Genomic DNA, 22,997 nt, shown 5'->3' on the forward strand with positions numbered 1-22,997 from the left:
ACCTCAGCCTCCCAAGTAGCTGGGACTCCAGGTGAACATCACCATTCCTGGCTAATTTTTGTATTTTTAGTAGAGGTGGGGTTTTGCCATGTTGGCCAGGCTGGTCTCAAACTCCTGGGCTCAAGTGACTGCCTGCCTTGGCCTCCCCAAGTGCTTGATTTATAGGCATGAGCCACGGCACCGGTTGGTTCATTATCTTACTACCCCCAAATTCCACAGTCATACCTCAACTTATTTCTGATATTTAGTGTTGCACAATGTCTGACACTTGCTTATTTTTTCTCTGAAAATAAAACATTGTTTTTCTGTTTTCATACCAACAGATTTTTTCTTATAATTAATAATTTTCACCAGAATATACTTTTAATTTTTCCTGGTACACATTAACTATTTTGAAGTAATGTCAGGAAATTTTTTTTTATTTAAAAATTATTTAAATTTAAGTTCTGGGATACATGTGGAGAATAGGCAGGTTTGTTACATAGGTACACATGTGTCACGGTAAATTAAATTAAAAAAAAAAATTAGAGACAGGTCTCGCTCTGTCACTCAGGCTGGAGTGCCATGTCACGATCTTGGCTCACTACAGCCTTGACCTTCTGGGCTTAAGCAATCCTCCTGCCTCAGCTACCTATATTTTTATTATAACATCTTCTATTTTTTCTTTTCCTGAAAAATTCTGTATTTATATGTTTAATGTATTGAATAATAGCCTCCGTTTTCCCCTCATTATTTCACTTTCATGTTTTTTGTCAGAATTGTGAGAATTCATGCTCATCTTTAGCTTTCTGCATTGTTCCAATGTTTGTGCTTCCACTGCATGATTTTAATTCTGCAAAATATTTTTCATTTCAAAGCAGGCAAAGTTTCACAATCTCAGATTGCTCTCTTTCAGATTGCTCCATGTTGATAGTTCCTGCTATATCCTCTTAAATCTCTATAAATATAACTTGGAGATTTTTAAGTTTATGTTCTCTCTTTTTTTTAGCATCTATTTTAAAGAGTGACATTAGCTTTGCATTCTTAGATGTCTCCCTTCTTTGGAACTGCTAGATATTGTTTTCATGAGCTTCACAAAGAGTGAGTCCCATGGCCCCAGCACAAGGCACATCTGAGGGGCCATTGGATACGTTTGATTGAGATGTGTTTCCCATTGCCTGCCTACCTAGCATTCCTGTAGCTCTTGCCACTTTTTAAAGTTTTTTTACATGGTAAAATATGCATAACATAAAAGTTACCATTTAACCACTTTTAAGCGTACAGTTCAGTGTCATTAAGTACAGTTACATTGTTGTGCAACCATTGCCACCATCCATCCACAGAACCTTTTTTTTTTTTTGAGATAGGGTCTCACTCTCTTGCCCAGGCTAGAGTGCAGTGGCATAATCATGGCTCACTGCAACCTCTGTCATCCAGGTTCAAGCGATTCTCATGCCTCAGCCTCCCGAGTAGCTGGGATACCGATGTGTGCCACCATGCCTGGCTAATTTTTGTGTAGTTTTTTTAAGTAGAGATGGGACTTCATCATGTTGGCCAGGCTGGTCTCGAACTCCTGACCTCTGGTGATCCATCTGCATCGGCCTCCAAAAGTGCTGGGATTATAGGCATGAGCCACCATGCTCAGCCTTCCACAGAACTTTTTCATCTTGCAAAATGAACTGTGGCATTAAATGATAACTACCCATCTTTCCCACCACCACACCCTGGCAGCTATCATTTTACTTTCTATCTCAATGAATTTAACTACTATAAGTACCTCATATGAGTGGAATGTGCAGTATTTTTTCTTTTGTGACTGGATTATTTCATTTAGTGTAATGTTTTCAAGGTTGCATGTTGCAGTATGTGTCAGAATTTCATTCACATTTAAGGCTGAGTAATATTTCATTGTATACATTTACCACATTTTGTTTATCCAGTCATCCATAAGGGAACATTTGGGTTGCTTTTATCTCTTAGCTATTGTGAAGAATGCTGTTATAAACATGGATGTACAAGTACCTCTTCATGTTCCTGCTTTCAATTTTGGGGAGTATATACCCAGATGTGTGATTACTGGATCATACAGTGATTCTATTTTCAAGTTTTTGAGGACCCACTGTGCTGTTTTCCATAGTGGCTGTACCACTTCACATTCCCATCAGCAGTGTACAAGAGTTCCAATTGCTCTACATCCTTGCCAACACTTGTTATTTTCTGTTCTTTTAAAAAATATACATAATAGCTATCCTAATGGGTATGAAGTGGCATCTCATTGTGTTTTTGACTTACAGTTCCCTGATGATTCATGATGCTGAGCTTTTCATGTGCTTATTGCTATTCACATATCCTTTTTTGAGAAATGTCTTTCAAGTTCTTTATCAATTTTTGAATTGGGTTTTTTTGTTGCTGTTGTTTAGTTTTGGGAGTTCTCTATATATTCTGGACTTTAATTCTTTTTCAGATATGCGGTTTTCAAACATTTATTCCATTCTGTGCAGTCTCTGATGCTTTACCTTTGGAGATGTTAGTGGAATTCTTCTAGGAGTCCTTTTCATTTAATCTCCAGGCCAACTTTTCCTTCCATTCTGATGACTTACAGTTGGTTGGTCTTTCCCTCAATCACTGTTGTGAACACTCTTTATTATGGAATGTTTTCAGAACGTCTGACATGTGGATTATATTGGTGTCCTTTGCTAGTTGTCAGTACTATAACAAATATTCCCAAATATTTTTATATTAATTTGGTTATTTCAGTAAAAATCATGGAAGGTAAGAGTTAAATGTGTAGGCTTCATTTTCCATTTTTAAGGCCTTATTTTTTGAAAGTGGTATCCCTGCACCATAATTACCCTAACTACTGGTTAAAAATACTGGTTCGAGGCCCCCTTCCCACACCTCTGGCTCAGAGTCTCTGAGGAGAGAGCCTTAGGATCCACGTTTCATTACAAAAGAAATCTCTAGGAAGTTCTAATGCAAATGAAAATTAGAGAACTACTGGGTTCAGTGGTGACTCGTGAGCAGTTAAAAGAGAAGGGAATGATCCCTTGGAACTAACCAAGGTTCACCAAGAAGTCATGGCAGGTGATTCTTACATCTTCTTGACAGGTACATTAGTTATATAACTCAGGGAAATGTGGTAGACAGTGGATGTAAGTGCAGGAGACTTGACAAAGTTTTCATGAGCCTTGCAGGCATGATGGAGAAATACCCATTGAATACAAAAACAGGGACAACACGCAAGCAAGACCATGACTGGTGCAGATCCAGTTTCGGTTCTGACACCTTAAAGTAGTTTTAGAGAAACTGTAATGCACATGTAGGAGATTTACCAGAGGAGCTAAGGAATTAAAAGCTCTGTAATTTGAGAAATCGCTGAATGTTTTGTTTAGCAATGGTTCTTAACTCTTCTGAACATTGGCATAGTTGGTAGCACTGGGAGACGTAAAAAAGTACTGAGGCCCAAGCTTTGACCCCAGACCAATTAAGTAAGCATCTCTGGGAGTGGGACCCACAACTGGTGCTTTTTCAAGGCCCCTCCCCACTCCCCCCAGGCAATGTTAATGTTAAACAGACTTGAGAACCACTAGCTTAGAGAGAAAGACCATGCTTACAAATTTGTGAGCTCTAATATGGAAGATGGGCATAAGTGTTTCTGTAAGCCACCCCCCTGCTTGACCATTCACCTGGCAGAAGTGGACATTGGTCTGAGTCAATAGACGGCTACTGGGACAGCTCAGTTGCCAAGCCCAGACTCTCAATGCTGTGAGATGTTTCTTTCCCTTATTAGATAGGCATGGACCTCCTTGACATGGATCTTTCAGGTACTGGCAATACATTGATCTAGATACATGGAAATAGACTCTCCCCTGATCTCATGAGTTTTCACGTTTCACCCACCACTTGCACTGAGGACTTCGTTATCTGGGCCTCCAGCCACGGAGCTCATCTATCCAATTACATCTCCATCTGGATCTCTCACTGAAACCTCAAAGTTAACGTGCCCTGAACTGAACTTGTTACCTAACCCCACACCTGCTCCTGTTCCTCAATTCTCTTGGTCAATGAAACCACTATCTTCCCAGGTGTAGGAGCCTGGTGGCCACCTTTGGCTTCTCTGCCTCCCTCAGCCCCCTCACATACACTCAGTTACAAGTTCTTTCCTGGTTCTGTCCCTGACTCCACCTGTACTGCCATTGGTTTAGCCCTCATCTCCCTGGAACTCCCTCAAAAGCCTCTCAGGGGCAGCCTCACTTTCCATCTTCTCTCCTTCTAAGACAGCAGCCTGAGGGGTTGCTCTAATGTTAAAATGTGGCCACGTCAGTCCCCACTTATGAGTTCTCAGTGCCCCTCCCCTCATCACTAGCTACAAGAAAAAAAATGCACACTTTAATGTGACAAACGAGACCCTCCATGGCCCAGCTCCTGTCCACATTTCCAGACTCATCTCCCATAACTTTCTGACTCACAGTTTTTGCTCCAGCAACACTGAAGTGTAGACAACAAAAACTGGCTTTGCATACATGGTTCCCTTTACCTAGAATTTATTACCCTCATTCCTTCACTTAACTTCACGCATCCTTTAAATTTCAGTTCAAGCTCATCTACTCCAGAGCGTATTACCTGATTTCCTAGGTCCAATACCTTCCCAGGCCGAGGACGTGACCCTTTCCTGACTCTCATCTAAAGATTGACTCTGGCTGGGCATGGTGGCTCATTCCTGTAATCCCAGCCCTTTGAGAGGTTAGGAGGGTGGATCATCTGAGGTCAGGAGTTCGAGACCAGCCTGAACATGGTGAAACCCCATCTCTATTAAAAACACAAAAATTAGCCAGATGTGGTGGCATGCATCTGTAATCCCAGCTACTCGAGAGGTTGAGGCAGGAGAATTCCTTGAACCTGGGACGCAGAGGTTACAGTGAGCCAAGATCACAGCACTGCACTTCAGCCTGGGTGACAGAGTGAGATCCCATCTCAAAAAAAAAAGTATATATACACACTTTTATATATACTTTTATGTATGTATATATATATATATATATATATATACACACACACACATACACATATATATAGACTCTCTATCTATATCTATATCTATATCTATGTCTATGTCTATATCTATATCTATATCTATATCTATATCTATATCTATATCTATATAACAGTGGACTCTGTTCCACTCAGCTCCTGGAAACCCAGTTGATCCTATCCCAAGAAATGAGTCCTATGACTAGCATGAAGTGGGTGCTCAGCACATATTTACTGATTGAATATTGGTTAAACGATGGAGCATCCTCAGGAGAGCATTGCTATGGTTTGCATCATTTAGGGATTAAAGAATGGTGTGGTCTTTGGGGCACCATGGGACTTTTTCCCCTATAGGAACATATGGCTACTAGCTTCCTAATAGTTGAGAAAGATCACTTTGTGATCATCCAGGCCTGCTGGACATGCCGGCATGAGAAAAGGGAAGAGACTGACTTCCACCAGTGAATATCTTTATGTCAGGTTCTGGGGATCAGGAACATCCTTGTTGATGAGACTTTTGGATGGGGAGTTTGGGGGGCTAGATGAGAGTAACCATTTTGTGTGGCTTCCAAGGAAGGGACACCCTGGCCTTCTGGGAGCTGGAAAGAGCTTTCTCTAGCTTATTTACTTTAACTGCAAGTCAGGGGCACGACGGAGCTGGTGAAGTACTATGAGCCACTGTTCCCAGAGCAGAGGGGTGGAGAAATGCAGCAGGAAATGGAAACATTTAGGCCAAAAACATTTCAAGTATTTCAGCATCTAAGGATCAAAGTGGCCTCACTGACCTTTGGCTACTTGGAACTTTCACACCAGATCAGCCATCAGCAAAGTGAAAACTTGGTTTCTCTGCAGACGACACTGTTTATTCCCAAGGCGAGAAGAAAACTTCCAACGCAAAACACACAGAAAGGAGTGATGGACCCAAATGATTAACTGGGCAGGCAAGTCTGGGTTTTGTCAGCTGCTGTCTGGCCATTGAGTTTTTCTCTTCCATCCCTTTTCTTGCCACAGCAGACTTTTCTAGATGCCTCCATTTTTCACTTGGAAAATGAGAGCTCTTAAGCTCTTTCCTTCTTTTCTCTTACACATCATGATTCCAGGAAAGAATCTTTAACTTTCACTGAAGCATCAATGACTTAAGAAGCGAATTCCAAGAGGAGAAATAGATATTTTTGCAGGAAATAAAGCCTTAAGCTTCTTCAGAAAAGGAAGTGAAAAGAGGAGTTATGCCCTGGAGAAGGCACTGGTCAGAGTGGTGAGACCCTGGCTCCTATTCTGGCTGGGTAACCCCAGGCAGGGCACTTATTATGTTGGGGGTTTCCTTATTTCTCAGGATGAAGGCTTAGAACCAGATGTTCTCTTGGCTCCTTCTCTGATCTCATTTTCTATGACGCCAGAAATTCTTAGATCTGCCCCAAATTAATATATATCTCTAATCCTAATTGAATAACATCCCAGGGTGCTGAGACAGTGTGCAATTGAGGTAATTAGACCATGCTCCTTAATTTGTTCAGAATCATAGAGTTAAGGAAGCCACTACTATCTCCATCATCACCCTGCCCCCAACCACCATTATCATTATCACCACCATCACCCCCACAACTATCACCACCACCATCAATACCACCACCAACACCACTATCGTCAACTCCCCACACAACTACCATCACCGCTACCACCAACACCAACACCACTACCACCAGCACGATCATCATCACCACCATTATTGTCACCCCCCACCACCACTACCATCACCACTATCACCACCACCAACAACACTACTCCTACCACCATGATCATCACCACCACCACCACTACCATCACCACTATCACCACCACCACCACCACCATGAACACTACTCCCACCACTATGATCATCACCACCATTATCATAACCCCCACAACCACTACCATCACCACTATCACCACCACCACCATCACCTCCACTGCCACTACCACCATCACCACTATCACCACCACCACCACCTTACCACCATTACCCCCACCACCATCACCCCACCACTACCACCACCACAATAATCACCCCTACTACTGCCACCACTATCACCAGCACCACCACCAGCATCACTGTCCTACCACTACCATCATTACCCCATTATCACCATCACCAGCACCAGCACCAGCACCAGCATCACTGTCCTACCACCAGCATCACCACCACCATTACCACCATCATCACCACCACTACCATCACCTTCATGAGAAATAAAGTTCTACTTTTTAAAATGGGAAAATTTATAAAAATGTCTTAATTTGAGGGACTGATGTTAATTCCAGGGAACATTCTGGAATGGGATGTGGAATGAGCTTTTAGGATTGAAGCTGTGATTTCAAGGAACCAGCATGGAATCACTGAAATTAGTTTATGTCAGACCAACAAAATTGCTTCTTTGACAAGATTATTGGACGGAAGATCAAGGAAATACCAGTGATGAAGAATATTTGGAGTTTATCAGAGACCTTTGATAAGATTCTTCTAATAATGTTGAAAAAGATGAAGAAATATGGGCTCAGTTATAGTACAGAAAGCTGAATAAATTTTCTAAGTAAGTGCTGTTTAATTATTGAATTAATATCTATGTTTAGGGAACATACAGTGGAATGCCTCAGAATCCCATAGTGTTCATTATTTTTATTGATGACTTAGATGAAGAGGTCGTGCTCATCAGATTCAGAGATGGCAGGAAGCTGGCTGAGAGGGCCGGTAAATACACTGGATGCTAGAATCACAGCCAGAAATATCTGGGCAAGTTGGCGAGGCAGACTGAACTGAACAAGATAAAATGAGAAACAATGCACAGTCTCTAGAGTGGCTGTGAGGGGGTGTGGGCAAGTATCGGGTGAAGGCGAGCAGGTGGGCAATGCAGTTCAAGAGCAAGTTTAAAAGAGAATTGGGTTACTTCAGTTGATATTAAGCTCAACAGGTGTCAATGGTATAGATTCTTAATTAGACCTTAAAGAGTTTTAATAGAAATAGGAAATAGAATGAGGAGGTGGTAATTTCAGTCTTCTCCATGCTGATTAGGACTCCCTTGAAATTTTGCACTTTATTCTTTAAGAATAAAGAAATTAGAGAAAACTAGGACAAGAGTGATGATAATAATAGTGAGGGCACTGGAGCAAATGGCCCATGAGGTAGGGTGGAGCAGTGAAAAGGGCGTTGGCCAGGGATTTGAGAGCCAAGTTACCCCATTAATAGGTTGCGAGATCTTAAGAGCTGGTTCAGGACTCCCTGAGGAGAAGCACAGACTATGGTGGTTGACTGGTCTGCTCTTGTAGGTTTTTGGTTCCCCGCCCTTTTCCCCCTTCTCTTCCAGGGGAGGAGATGGGGCCAGCATCCACCAACTCCCATCAGTAGGAGAGGGGAGAGTTGCTGGCTTCTGGGTTCTTTCCTCGCAGAGGCTCATGCATGCACAGCCTGGGCCTCTGGGAGTGTCCAGGTTGGAGGGATCCTCGCCATCTGTTGATGGTGTTGTGTGGGGAGTTGGAGCAGTTGGGGGAGCTGGAACAGATGATCTTAGTAGTTACTCCCATCTCTGAGAGTCTAGATTTCAAGACACGCTGAAATCAGGTCAGGCCACACTATGGATGGGTTCCTTTCTCCCTCCTTCACCCATCCAGGGACAGGTTCTCTTAAGACCCTGAGCAAAATTTTGCACTCTTGATATGTGATTCAGAGTCATAAATTATACCCATTGTTTCTCTTGGAAAGCTTTCAAAAGTCCCCTTTCTGTGATTTCCCAGGAAGCCAAGATGGTGGCAATCCTAATCCACATCACAACACACAGCAGTTATTGAGGCAGTAAAGCAAAAGGTCCAAGAAAAAAAGAGAAGATAAATAAAGAGAAAAGGCTTTGAAATCATATAGACCTGAGTTTCAATCTCAGTCTCTCCTATCAGCTTTGTGACCATAGGCAAATTACTGAAACTTTCTGAGACTCAGTTTCCTTATCTGTGAGATGGGGTTAATACCAGGAGTGTAGTGATGTGAATATCAGGTGAAGCTATGCGTGCACAGAACATAGCCCAATGTGGGACTCAGAGTCGGTGCCCAGTAAGTGCTATTGCTAATATTACCACAACATTTACTACCACCATCCCTCCTTTATCTTTCTCTCCCTCATCTCTTCGGGGCTAGGCACTGTGCTAGTGCAGAGGATACAGTGGAAAACGAGACAGACATAGACACACACTTTGCTTGCACCAAGCTTACACTGTAGCACAGTCCAGTTAAACTTTTTGCAATGATGGAAATCTTTTAAATGTGCATTCTCCAATATGATAGCCAGAAATCACATGCTGCATGTAAGCACTAGCAATGTGACTGGTGTGACCGAGGAACTGAATTTTAAATTTCATTTAATTTTAATGAACTAAAGTTAAACAGGAAATAGTCACATGTGAAAACAGACAGCACAGCTCTAGACACCTTTCAGGTATATTTCTGGGACTGACTAGCCTGAGCAGAATAAAGGTATGCTGAAAGAGAAATGCACGTAAAGCATCCAGTACAGGACCTGGAAAATTCTCTTATTCGTTCATTCGTCACATTTAATTGTTGACTATGGATTGGCACTATCTCAGGTGCTGGGGATACAGAAAAGGATTAGACATGGTCTCTGCCTTCAGGGGGCTCATAGTTCAGTGGGAGATATGCAAATAGTGACTTCGCCATAGCGAGGTAAGCTTACGCACAGGTGCTGTGGATTCAGGACATCTCTAGGGTGGGCTTCCCTGAAGGATGTTTCCGGACCTGAGCTGAATCTTGCATAAATTGATCTCAGAGTGGGAGCAACAACAGATTATATTCCAGGGCTACTAAACCCACTGCTGGTGGCAGAGGTGGCTTGGAGATCAACGAGGCTCTAGGAACAACTCATAGCTAGGGCCAGTTTGTTTTCTTCTAACCCTTTGTGTGTGTGTGTGTGTGTTTTGTATTGCCTAATTCAATCTCTCTTCTGCCAGCCACATTTTGTTTCCACCTGAGGACATTTTTTTTAAATGATGGGTATAACTTTATTTTTAAATTGTTTTATTACTATTAATAGTTACTAGCCTTGATTTCTTTTTTTTTTTTAGTCAGACAAACTCTGTTACTTATAAAGTGACATCAGCTCTCACTATGGTTGGGTGTGGAATTCTGATACTTGGTACAAATAAACAACTCTTTGAATATGGCCAGTATGTGAGGAAGCTGTTGCTGATGGGTTAAGCTTGCTGAACCTGGCTGTGATCATGATGCACGTTCACAAGAGTGAATGTTGTTATAATGACTTGTATGGAGAAGTGGGACATTATACACATTTGTATATTTTACATGATGGTTTGATTTGTTCAAAGTTAGTATGTGACATTTAGCTAGAGAATTCTGCAGCTGATACTTGCTCACATAAAAATAGGTATAGCTTTATGTTGTATGGTTTCCATAATCCCTCCCGAGTGTATAAAGCAAGGTGATATGTGTGATTCCTTCTTCCATGAGACTGAAGAATGCTCGTGTGATGTGGCTTGGTCGTGTGAGGCCTTGGCCTATTTGGATTCCTAAAGGTCATCTGCTTGAACTATGGCCGAGTTGTTTCTGGTGAATGGAATCCTAAATTAGTGTACCCTTTTTGAAAAGTGGCTTCTCATATATACTGTGAGCCTTAAAACATTCATGCCCTTTGGCCTGGTGATCTATTTCTAGGCATCTATCCAAAGGAAGTAATGGGAAGTGTGTGCAGTAAAGACTTTGCCCAGAGTTATTTGTAGTTGCTAAAGACAGGAAGCAACTTAAATAACTAACAGTGTAATAATATGCAGCCAGGAAAACAATGTTCATGAAGGTCTTTTGCTACAACACTAATTCAGAAAAAAGCAGAGAACCAATAGCTACAGGGGCTCAGCAACCATACTTTTGAGTCAGACAGCCTGGGTTTGAATCTTGATTCTGCCACATACTAGCTATGTAACTTGGGCAAGTCACCTGAAGTCTTAGAACCCTAGAAAAATGCAACCCTAGAAAAATGGGATTGATAGTAATAACACCTCAGAGGGACTCCTGAGGATTAAAGGATATAATGAATATAAAATTTAACACCATGCAAAGTATACTTATTAGGCACCCAATAAATGCTGGCTCTCTATGGATTGTATAATTTCGAGGCATAAAAACAGATGGAAAGGAAATATGCCAGTATATTAACAGTGTGGGATGGGAGTGGTAGGATCATGGGTGATTGATTTGTTCTTTGCATACTTTTCAACTTCCCAATTTTTAGGCAATGAACATGAATTACTTTTATACTAAAAGAGTACATTATAATGATGTAATACAATAAGATATACATTTTAAAAGTTTTAAAGTTTTACCACAAAGAAAAGGTACTTCCCCGCCCTTTTCCCCCTTCTCTTCCAGGGGAGGAGATGGGGCCAGCATCCACCAACTCCCATCAGTAGGAGAGGGGAGAGTTGCTGGCTTCTGGGTTCTTTCCTCGCAGAGGCTCACACATGCACAGCCTGGGCCTCTGGGAGTGTCCGGGTTGGAGGGATCCTCACCATCTGTTGATGGTGTTGTGTGGGGAGTTGGAGCAGTTGGGGGAGCTGGAACAGATGATCTTAGTAGTTACTCCCATCTCTGAGAGTCTAGATTTCAAGACACGCTGATGTTTGTCGTTTTCTCCCCATGTCTCGGTTGATCTGAACCAACCACTCCATAAAATTCTAAGGTAGGAAAGACTCATCTACTAGCTTCCCACCCTAAAGCCCCTCCCAGAAAAATACCTGTAGTAATGCCTATAGTGCTGGGTGTAAACGTTAAGGGTGATTGGCAAAAAAGACATAGATCAGGAGTACGACCGGGAAGTTGGCTTAGTTGCAGCCGTTTTATTTAAGGAGTATAATTCATATTCGGAATGGAATCTCCAGCAAATGTAGTCTTTTAATATGACAAACAGTTAAGTACCTTCCCATGTTAGACACATGCCTGGAATGAGAGTGAGAGGGACATAAAATATAAAGGGGTGTGTGTCTGTGCCTGGGTTCATGACCAAACCTCGACATTTGCCCTCTATGATCTAATTTCCTTCATTGACAACCAGGGTGCCCTGTGTGCCAGCAAGTGGCTCTGCCAGCTGTATTTTACAGACAGAGAATCCCAAGCACCAAAATAACAAAGTTGATTCCCCCATCCAGACCAGAGGGGTCGTTTCCAGTCCTGTGTCCTGACCACTGTCTCTCATCATGACCCCTGGTGTTCACCTCCAGATCCAAAGTGTCGTCGCCAAGCCCCCAAAATAAAGGAATGACAAACAGCCCTCCCAGGCCCTCCTCCCCACAGAGAGGTCATCGTATGCTAATGAAGTCCGAGGAGGCAGCGGCGCAGCGCGGGAGAGCGCGCCCACGGGTTCACAGCGCTCCCGGGCACCACTGCGGCGCAGCCACAGATCGCTTCGCGCTGCAGCAGACGCTCCCGCCGCGGGGGGCGACTGGGGGAGGGGTCTCGACCGCCACCCTGAGTTCCGCAGCTCATCCCTCCCATCTGGGAGGTGGTTCTAGCTCTAGTCCCAAGCTTTCCACTGCAGTGATGGTGGGGATGGGGGCAGCACGTCAAATCACCTGTAGGGCTTTTTAGAACTCCACAGCCCCCTCCCCTAATTCTATTCCACTAGTTCAAACGAAGAAAATCTCAGACTAGGCAAGGGGAGGTGGACCGGTGGAGTCTGCGAAAGCACCACAGGTGACTCCGGGTACGCACTCCTCAGGACACAAGCACACACACGGACACATCTTGTGACTCTGAGACTACACAGATCAACCTCAGATTCGACCCTTCCCTCCTTTATTCTCTGAGGTGTCCGTGTTCGCTTCAGCTTCCCTTTAAGTCGCCCTGCGCAGGGGCTTTGTGGAGTGCCCCCAAAGTCCTAGAACCCCGCGGGACGGTCGGAGGCTTTGGCGGCCAGACATTAGGAAAAGCATCTCCTGCTTCTCGGACTGCCTGGAGCGCGAACTGGATATCAAGGAGCCAAGGTTAAGTCCAGAAGAAGAAGGAAATCCGACCAGTTGCTTTAGCAAACTGCCTGGAGCAAGGCCGCCTCCCACCCGCACAGCTTTGAGGCTTGAGGGGGCCTCTCAGTCGCAGAGAGAGCCGAGCCCCACCCTGTGCGTTCCCCAAGCCTGCACCCCTCGAGCGGGGCATCCCTTCCTGCAGGGCTTTGTGGCAGGTGGAACTGTCGGGGTGGGCGCCGTGGCTTTGGCTGCAGCCCCTTCCCTGGCCGCGGGACCGGCTCCCGCTTTGCCCTCCTTTACCAAGTTGCTGCACCGGGTGCTCCCTGAGCCGGGGACCCCCTCCGCCGCGCCGGCCGCCGTCTTACCTCACCAGGCAACACTTGGTTGCGCGGTGGCCCGGGGCGCTCCTTCTTCGCGGTTTATTCCCTTACTTGGGAGGAAAGAGGAACCGAGAGACAGAAGGGGGACCGAAGCTGGCCTCTGGGCGTCTTCCCGCCTGCGCAGCCCTCTCGGGGGAGGGGGATGCAGCCCCAGTGGGTGCCGCGGAGACCAGGCTGCCAGGCTGTGGTTGGTAGCGCCGGGGTCTTCACCCTGTGCTCGGAGTTCAGCAGCTCCAAAGCTGTCTATCTCCGTGGCCCGCTACTACGGCACTGCGGCTCTGTGCCCTGCCCCTCGCAGCCTGGCAAGTCCAGCTGCCACTCTCACTGCGGAGCCCTGCCCCCGGGCGCAGAGCCCGCCCCCGCCACACACACCGGCGCGCGCGCGTACACACACGGCACACACAGACACGCGCTTCCACACATGCACACGCGTGCGCACACACGAATGTGGATCCGCTCGATGGGAACCTGACCCCCTTTGGTGCAACTAGGGCGCGGGCATCATTAGGACGCTTTTTACTGACAGGGCTTCGGTTTGGGAGGAGGAGTTACAGGCTTAGGAGTGTGGAGAGGATGCAACAGTGGTGGGTACCAGAGGGCCCCTGACCCCGGAGGCAAAGGACAACTGTTTGACAAATAAATACCGACTGGGCGTTTCCTTTTCTCAACTCTGGTCAAGGCTACCGTAATATCCCGACCAAATCGAAGAAAAAATAAAAATACAAAATCAACAAGTTCTCTTTGTTTCCCAGGAACTCAGTATCTCTAGGATCCAAATCACTAGCCCTGTCCAGAGGGTCATTTCTGACAACCTTGACTTCGGTGGCAGTGGATTGGTGGCAGTTCAACTCGAAAAGGTTTTCCCCTCGTAGCCTGGTGGAGACTGGCACAGCCTGCCTGAGCTGGACTCTGTTGGATGGGTCGGGTCTCTGGGTGTGTTTAATTCCCATTCTCCTTTGCTTTTAGGTGACCTTGGACTGTATTCCTGCAGAATAAATAGATCTCTTCTTTTTTTAAAATGTAGAAGAGCACAGAAAAGACGCTGGGGTGAGGGGTCGGGGGGAATAGGGGAGCTACATTAGCCAAGGCACTATGACTTGTTGCTTCTCTTTCCATGACGTGCATGTCCACGTGAGGGGGTGATGGTGGTGGTGACACTATTTCAGGCATGTCACACAGCAAGATGACTGCTGTCCATTTCACACCACATTTAGAGTCATTAGGAGTTTAGACTGTCATCTTTAAAATATGTGGAGTTTACTCATTTCCACAGCCGAGAATTCTTTTCTGCCAGTGGGCAGTGAAGGTCCCCGGGCCAGCACTGCAGCCAAGAAAAGCTTTCCGCAGAGTGTGGAGGCGCCGAGGGGCTCTGGGTGTCTGTGCATTTGGGGAAGAAGCCTCAAACACGAATGTCAAACAGCCCTGAGGACCCTGTTGGGTGGTGTCCATACTAGGCTATCTGCAGGCAGGCTGGTGAGACAGATGAGAAACAGAGCTGAGAGATCTCCTTAAGATTCCACACAGTGATGAAGACAGAGCTGATACCAGAACCCCGTGTTTGCGACTCCTCTTATCCTCTGGGTCTTATCCATTCTATCACCCTGGGTGGCTTCTCAAAGTTTCCTTCAGCTAGGCTGAAATAATCTTGGTGAGGGTGCCTTCAAAGTTCTTCCTTGTCCTTTCTTTTTTTCCTCTTCAGTCACTGACTCATTCATTTTACAGCTATTTATTAAACTCCTACTCTGTCTTCAGGTGCTTCCCCGTAACTCCAGTCCTGGGCCTTACTTGGGAGGAAAGAAGAACTGAGAGACAGAAAGGGCTTAGAACTGTCCTCATCCCTGGAAGAGAGGAGCCCTGAGCACAGGTTTCTGGTATATATTTTCACTCTGCTAGGTTGCATGGATGTGGAAGACACAATCCTTGCTTTTTTTGACTGCATGCTCAATGGAGGAAAATGCACATACATGTCACAAGAAAAACATTCTGGCTGTCTATTCTTGACTCCTTCTAAAGAAGGCTAAACTGAAGGAGACCCTGTGTTTGGCTGAGCATCATAATGGACTTGGGGTACATGTTTGCAAATAGGTGTTAGGACAACATTGAGTTGCTCTGCCTATTAGGACAGGAAGGAAATAAATTGAATGGAACAAATGAAGAAGACATGCAGAGACTGAGTGTGGAGCCTTAGCTTCGTTGAGAGCACATTGGGGAAGGGTAACGAGAGGGGAGGAGCTCTGAGGACAGGGTTGCCAAGCAACTTGCCTGAGAACAGGCAACAGGGTTGCCAAGTTGTCCAGGGATTTGGACAGGGGAGATGCTTGCAAAGATTGGTAAGTAGTTTGCTGTGGGGTGGGCTATGAAAGCCCCCGGTCCTATGAAAGAAATCATTTGTAAAGTCAATATTGTTCATCGGTTTGCTTGCAAATGGATTCCTTTAGGATCAGGATGGAGCCAAATGATGCATCTGAGTTGCTGCAGAAGGAGTTCAGAGAAGGCTGTGTGGACTGAGTTACATGCTAATAACATGGAGGAAAAGGGTGGTAGTAGAGGCTGAAGCAATGTGGAAGGCAAAGAGGGATGGGGCGGGAAGAAGCACCAAGAACAATTAGTGCTAATGGAGGCATCATGGAGGAGGTAGGGTTTGCGATCGGATTTTAAAGGGGAATAGAGATCTCACTTAAAGATCAACAGGACAAGGGCAATCTAGGCTGGGAGAAAGCAAAAGCAGAGACGTAGGACAATTCATGGTGAGTTCTGGGTCTTCCCAGCACAAGAAAAGAAGGCTGGGACAGTATTGTGGGAGTCTCCAAATGCTCTTCTGGGAGCATAGACTTGGGTTCCACAGTGAGGAGCTATGGCAGGTGTGGATTTTTTGTTGTTTGTTTTTGATGGGAAATGAGCTGGGAAGCAAGCTGGGAAGTATCTGATGCCAGCTTTCCCAAGGTAGGCCTTCCCCATCAGAATGGAGCACTGTGGGGAGGGAGTCCTTGTTGCTGCTCTCACGAAGAGCCAGAGCCCAGGTGGCTTATGTGGCTTGCTGCAGAGGGCACCCAGCTAAGGGGCTGAAATCCAACTCATGCCCCACTTGCCCAGCCACACAACCTGTTAGGGTTATGTCTGCCTGGAGGGAGGGATGCCTTTTCTCTAATTTGCATGGGCTGACAGAGGCCCTGCAACTGAGCTCTTTATTTGAAAAGGCTGAAGCTACGGTGAAACAAGTGAGGATTTATTGGGCATTTGCTGTATGTGCAAACATAAGGTAAAGCAGAAAGAGTCTTGAGGTCAGGACTATCTGTGAGTCTGAGCATGTCTCTGCTCTGTGGTGACACCCTGAGACTTACTGTAGGGTACAGAGGAGGAAGCTTAGTGCCTCTCCTCAAAGATTTTGCAATCCATGTCAGTTATAAAACAAACGCTCCACTGGTTAAGAAACAGTGAACGACAGTATGGAATCAAGTGCCAAATTGCACAGGGCAGATTCTCAGGGCTTGAGAAAGGAGACCTCCTCTGGGCTGAAAGAGTCAAGGCAGGCTTCATGGAGGAGGAGGGCTGGGTTTGGCAGTGGAGCATGTGTATGTTGGTTCTCAGCCAGAGAAAAGACCTGCGAACAAAAAGCCAGAGGAAACGAAGCTGGGGGCTTCTAAGCATGGATTTTTAGCCGCCACAGCCACCCTAATGCCATTCCCAATTGTAGCCCAAGCGCTGTGATGAGTCACCCTTGTTTCTGAGAGACGGGGCATTTTTGGATGTTTAACTGGTTCAACACTTTACATTCCCTGAGACTTCAATGTTGGCAGCTCACACTCACCATGTTGCTCTGGGAACACATCATCCAAGCCAGCAGCTGATGCCTGATCTCCACTGCCAAGGCAAAGCGAGGGCTGAGTCAGGTACCTGTGTCTGGAAATTTTTAGTCCCACTGTCTCTGACAAGCTGAGCGAACAGCACTTGACAGTTGGAGCACAGCTGAGTTCAGGGTCACCAACCGCAAGGTGGGCCGGGGGGGTTCTGCTCGCCTTCTTAGGCCTCACTTTTCCCATGTACAGAACACAAAGGATTATACCAGATTATCTCCAAGCTGTCTTCCACCTAATATTTTATGATCTCATAATTAATGGAATCTTTCCATGTTATCAAGCAATGACAGGATGGGAACAGATACTAGCCAAGTCCGAACCTTAACTTTCCTCTTGGTTTTGACTGTGAAGGCTGTGGTGGAGTGAGACTGTGGGTTGGAAACAGGAGAACCAGGAGCTCCTGGTCACAGTTTTGCCATGAATGGGATTTGGGATCCAGCCCTGGGAATGTAGGCAGGAGATTCCCTCATTTTAGTTTTCTTAGAAAATAAGGAGGCTGGAAATGGTCCCTACAACCCTTTCTGGCACTGATACTCTGTTAAGTACTAGCAACTGAACAACTTTTAAGTACCGCCCCCTTGCCTGGGTGGGGCCCTCCACAAGGCAAGCTGGGAAAATTCTCACAATATCAACTGATAAGCTTGAAGGAAAGCACAAAGGAGAAGCCATGGGGTTCAGAATAATAAATAGATAATTTAGAATTAGATGGAGTCAAAAGAGCTAATCTGAGTCTCTAAGCTCCAATTTCCTCTTCTGCAAAGTGGGGATAGTAATACATGCATCTCAAGGTAATGATTAAATGAAGAAGCTTATTTGAAAGTGTTTTAGAAGTGCTATGCAAAAATGTAAAATACAGTTATTGAAGATAGTCTGTTCCCTTAAGGTAGTCTATTTTTTAAAGCCTAGTTATTATACTACTTGCTAATGTGTCTGCTTCCTAAGAAACAGCAATTCAGGTCAGCAACTCTTTATACACCACATTAAAATATAGTAATATTTTAACATGAAAGATGCTGGTGGACTTCAGGACTACCAGAGTGCACATCTGCCCCCTGCCTGGAATTCTACAGTGTCACTGGAGTTGCCCACAGTGGATTTCCCAGGAACTTTGATTGTGTTTACTTGACAGTGAAGGAGACACCTACCCATCCAAGATCCTGCTTTGATGCTTGCCTATCCGGAGACAGATGGTGGAAAGAGGGGAAGGAGGCGTGAGTGAGTAGGGAGAAAAAAGGAGGCTTTCTTCTTTCTGTTATATTTTGGGCAAAGGATGTTAAACTTTATGCTTTAATGAGCTTGTAAAAAGGCTAATTTGGGTTCACTACATTACTCCAGGTCTGTTTTCTGCTATGTCTGGTCAAGAGACACCGCCGTGGAACTCTTCACTGTTGTCCCTGGAGGGGAAGCTTTTCACAGGAAACGCTGGGAAGAGCCACAGAGGGGAAAAGGTTCTAACTCCCTAAATGACCATTTGCTTCAAAGCCTGCCCAGCCCGCAAAACTTTTGAAAAGATCAGTCTAGTTTTAGAAATCCTGGTCACTTCTTTATCTCCTGTTAACCAATTTGGGGGGACAAAATGTCACAACATGTTAGCAATTGAGGGAGCCCCAAGTGCCAGCACTTCTCTCATCTGTTCTTCTCATTTGCTGCTGCCAGAGTAACTTCTGAGAGTTTAGACCCCAAAGCCCCCTCTCTTTGTTCAAAAGCCTTCAAAGCCTCAGATCCCTCATCCTTAAAAGGGACATAATAATACTTAGGCATAGGCTTTTATGGAAGATAGAAGAAATATTTATGAACAGTCTACAATAGGATTGGTCACATAGTAGGTTCTGGATGAATGGAATTATTGTTATTACTGCCTTAAATAGAGAGAAATAGAGAGTCCCTAAAATGGCATTCAGGGCCCTCCACGAAGTGGTCCCAGGTCACTCATCCACTTGCACGTCCGGTAAGCTTTTCGAGGACATGGTGTGCACGCTGCCCGGCTTTGTCTTCCCAACACACCTTGCACCTGCCCCTCCCTGTCCTGCTCAGGCTACTCCCACGGCTGGGAGAACTGCCTTTTTTCTCTCTCTTGCTCCTTCTATAGTGCCTTTTAAATCCACTCAGCTGAAGTTAATTATTCTCTCTCCCGTACTTCCATTGAAACTTGTTTATAATTTATTCCAGTACTTACAACAGACTGCCTTGTATTATGATTACTTGTATATGCTTCATACCCGTTGTCCATCCCCAATCCATGGAACAGCAATTTATCCTCCTTAGACTACATCTTAATTGTTTTTCTATCACCCACAGAGTATTGCACATAGTAGGCGATCAATCATATGAAACTGAATATAAAGAAGACAACTACATGTCCCTGTTGTCTCTGAGATTCTACAATTACAGGAAGGCTTATTCTCATTTTCAAATCTTGCTAAAGAGCTTCCTCTCACTGAGCACCTATCATGAGCCAGGCACTATGCAGACTTGGAGGTTAACCCTCCCAAAAGCCCTGTGAGGAGAGAATCGTCATCCTCACTTTACACAGAGGCGGATGGCTGGGATCTCCCAGCCTGTACGTGGTGGAGGCAGCATTAGAAACCAGAAGCCACAGTGTGCTGTGAGCTTCCTCTAAGAGAGCTTCTCTCACAGTGAACTTGCCTTAATTTTCATTCTACAGCACTTGTCAACCAACTGAACTGTATTCTATAAAACTGGCTTATTGTTGCTTGGCTATATATTTTTTGTCTTTGTCTTGATTCTCCAAGTATATTTTAATATAGTTGTAGGGAAACATGATAATAGAAATAAATAAACATGTATTAAGCATTTATAATGTTTTTAGCACTTTATACACACACATCCTATGAAGACGTTATTAACCCCATCCCATGGGGAGTTTCACTGGGGTAGCTGCTGCTAGCAGGAAGTTACTACCTGGGAGAGCAGTACTCACGGAAGAGACTATTTTTCCACCCTACAAAAATTTTTCTTTCAACCACCAGCATGCCAGCTGCATCTCAGCTCAGCCCTCAATGTTTGCTGAATGAGTGATGGGATCTCTTTTATCTCTCACCTATGCTGTTTACCCTGAATCCCTGACTCTATACATAGCCTGTGGAGTGACAGGTCCTTACTTGCCCTCTCCTCCCACTGGAGAAGGAATCGGGAGAATGAGAGAGGAGGCATGGTTCTGTACCAAACAGACAGAGGCAGTCTCAGGAGATGAGCCTTCAGCCCACGTAGAAGTGATGTGGCATCTCTTCTGGGCTAGCAGTTCTCTAGACGTGGTCCTCTCATCAGTTGGGTCAGACTTTCCCAAGTGCTTGTTAAAATGCATATTCCTGGGCTCTACCCTGACCCACCGAATGTGCCTCCCTAGAGGGAGAGACTAGAAATCTACATTTTGAACAAGGCCTGCAGGTGATTCCTCCAGGCCCTGGAGTCTGAGCAGGACAGCCTGGTCTAAGCATCTCCTCAGCAGCTGCTGCAAAGACAACGTGCATTTTTTCTCAGGTATCAGCATTCATATAAATAAAAAAGAAACCATTTAAAATTTCATTTTATTGCTTCCAAGGATTGCCCGTTGTCCAAAGGTTACAGGGTAGTTTGACACATTCCATATGTCTATTTTATGATGTGTAAAAGAAAAGAGTGGTTCCATAGCATAGCTTTAGTGCTTCCTATTATTTTCCTTTGCAAATCTCTCGAGTTGGAGCTGTGTTGTCAGTTACTCTTCTGAACACAGTTCTATGAGAAAGTGTATTCTGAATTTCAAACAACAATTTCATAAATAGATTTTCAGAATACAGCATGTTCCTACGTAGGGAACTGCCTGTATTTTAAAGTTTTTGTGGTTATTTGTTCCTGAGAAAAAGATTTTTACAATTGGCCCTAGAAGGATGTAGACTGGGGGGGCTCTGAACTTTTCCAAATCACCGTCTCACAGATCTCTGGCTAGCGTCATCGCTTACTTTATTCCGTAAATAATTTCTAGGTGTTTCTGGGAGGTTTGCCAATTGGGGATATATAAATTAGAGGTATAGAAAGTACTCTTTTTTCCCCTCTCATTTGTGAATTTGTTCATTAACAAATGCTTCTTGGGCACTTCCAGGGAGTAGATGCTGTGCTAGACACGAGATTCAGACAGGGGTGTTGCTTTCTGTCTCTGAGAGGTTCATGGTGGAGCAAAAATTATAGACCACACAGGGGAGAAGTTGGTGGTAAGAAGATGCAGTGGGATTAAAGGCCTAAAGAAGAGAGAGTTGAACAGTCTGTGGAGGGAGAATAAAAGAGGAGTCTCAAACATCTACCAGGAATTCTGTTGATTAATTGTTTGAGATGGGGGTCTGGCTCTGTCTGCCAGGCTGGAGTGCAGTGGTGTGATCATAGTTCACTGCAGCCTTGACTGCCTCCAGCATCAGCCTTCCGAGTGGCTGGGACCACAGGTGTGCACCACCATGCCTGGTTATTATTTTTGTTTGTTTATTTTTATTTTTGTAGAGATGAGGTCTCGTTGTGTTGCCCAGGCTGGTCTTGAACTCTCGGGCTCAAGTGATCCTCCCGCCTTGGCCTTTCAAAGTGCTGAGATTACAGGCATGAACTATCGCACCTGGCTTTGCTTTGTATAATGAGAGAAAACAATGTGGACTGTAACCTCTACTACTTTGAATGTTCCCAACCTCTGCTGGGCTAGGGATTGCACAAGTGGAGTTCCCTCAATATTTGTGGCAGTAGCAAAAATTCCTTTCCCTGTGTTAGGGTGTAGAGGCAGGGGAAATAGACTAGGGTGATGTTTCAAGTGGGTGATGGGCAGAGGATGCTAACTGAAAAGTAGCAGACAGAGACGACCCTGATTTCTATAGACTTGTAGGAGGTAGGAACTCTATTTCTTCAGAGACTCTAAACCTACTTCCTTGCCACTTCCTCCTTTTGGTCCTGGTTTTGTCCACTGATATCCAGAAGAATAAATCCTATTCTTAAAAAATTTTTTTAGAGACAGGGTCTCATTCTGTCACCCAGGCTGGAGTGCAATGGTATGATCATAGCTCACTGGAACCTCAACTCCTGGGCTCTAGCAATCCTCCCACCTCAGCCTCCTGAGCAGCTGAGACTAGAGACGTGTGACACCACGCCTGGCTGATTAGAAAAACAAACAAACAATTTTTCTTTTTGTAGAGATGGAGTCTCATTATGATGCCAAGGCTGGTCCCGAACTCCTGGCCTCAAGTGTCAACTCTTTTTTTTGCAGGGGGTCTTTGCAGATGTGTGATGGCAGCTTCCGTGCTTCCCCCGCCCTCCCCTCCCACTGAACATTCACTCATTCATTCCAACATCCAGTCAATAAACATTTATTTATTTACATGCCTGCTTTTCCAGGAACTGCGTCAGGTGTGGGAGAATGGAAATGAAAACGGGGCCCTGTGTTTATATGGGAGGACTGGCATGTGGACACATGGTGACACCATGGCCTCACAAGTGATCTACAAGAGAGGAGCACAAGGGGTCCAAAAAGGTGGGTAGGGGGACTTCTCAGGGACAGATGATGGTGCCCCATCTGTGTCCTGAAGTCTATTCAAGGCCTTCCATCTGCCCTTGTGTGACATGGCGGCACCCACTGACAACCGCAGGCAGTGGAGGTCCCAGGGGCCTACCAAGTAGTGGGCTGGAGGCAGAGGTGCTCATCTCTTCCCAATTCTGCATCCAGTGACATCTGGTGCTAGTTTCAAGCCAGCCATGGTGGGAGTATTTAAGCCAT

General features: G+C 45.1%; 1 protein-coding gene across 3 annotated transcripts in view, besides 2 other annotated features; it reads right to left on the reverse strand.

Moving 5' to 3' along the window:
- DGKG (diacylglycerol kinase gamma) overlaps nucleotides 1–13,671 on the reverse strand; it is a 215,034-nt gene extending 201,363 nt beyond the window's left edge. For all 3 annotated transcript variants that reach the window (NM_001080745.2, NM_001080744.2, NM_001346.3), the window contains exon 1: nucleotides 13,383–13,671. The gene's annotated coding sequence lies outside the window, so the exon portion shown is untranslated. The remainder of the gene's footprint in view (nucleotides 1–13,382) is intronic.
- Nucleotides 12,439–12,956: an enhancer, noted in NCBI's record as "H3K4me1 hESC enhancer chr3:186078791-186079308 (GRCh37/hg19 assembly coordinates)". NCBI's record gives its function as "activates a minimal SCP1, AML or CMV promoter by ChIP-STARR-seq in naive H9 embryonic stem cells {active_cell/tissue: H9 hESC(naive)}" and the evidence as "EXISTENCE:reporter gene assay evidence [ECO:0000049][PMID:30033119]".
- Nucleotides 13,741–13,830: a silencer, noted in NCBI's record as "silent region_14983". NCBI's record gives its function as "represses an Ori minimal core promoter by ATAC-STARR-seq in GM12878 lymphoblastoid cells {active_cell/tissue: GM12878}" and the evidence as "EXISTENCE:reporter gene assay evidence [ECO:0000049][PMID:35858748]".

This window comes from Homo sapiens, chromosome 3 (genome assembly GCF_000001405.40).
Source record: "Homo sapiens chromosome 3, GRCh38.p14 Primary Assembly".
Taxonomy (NCBI): domain Eukaryota; kingdom Metazoa; phylum Chordata; class Mammalia; order Primates; family Hominidae; genus Homo; species Homo sapiens.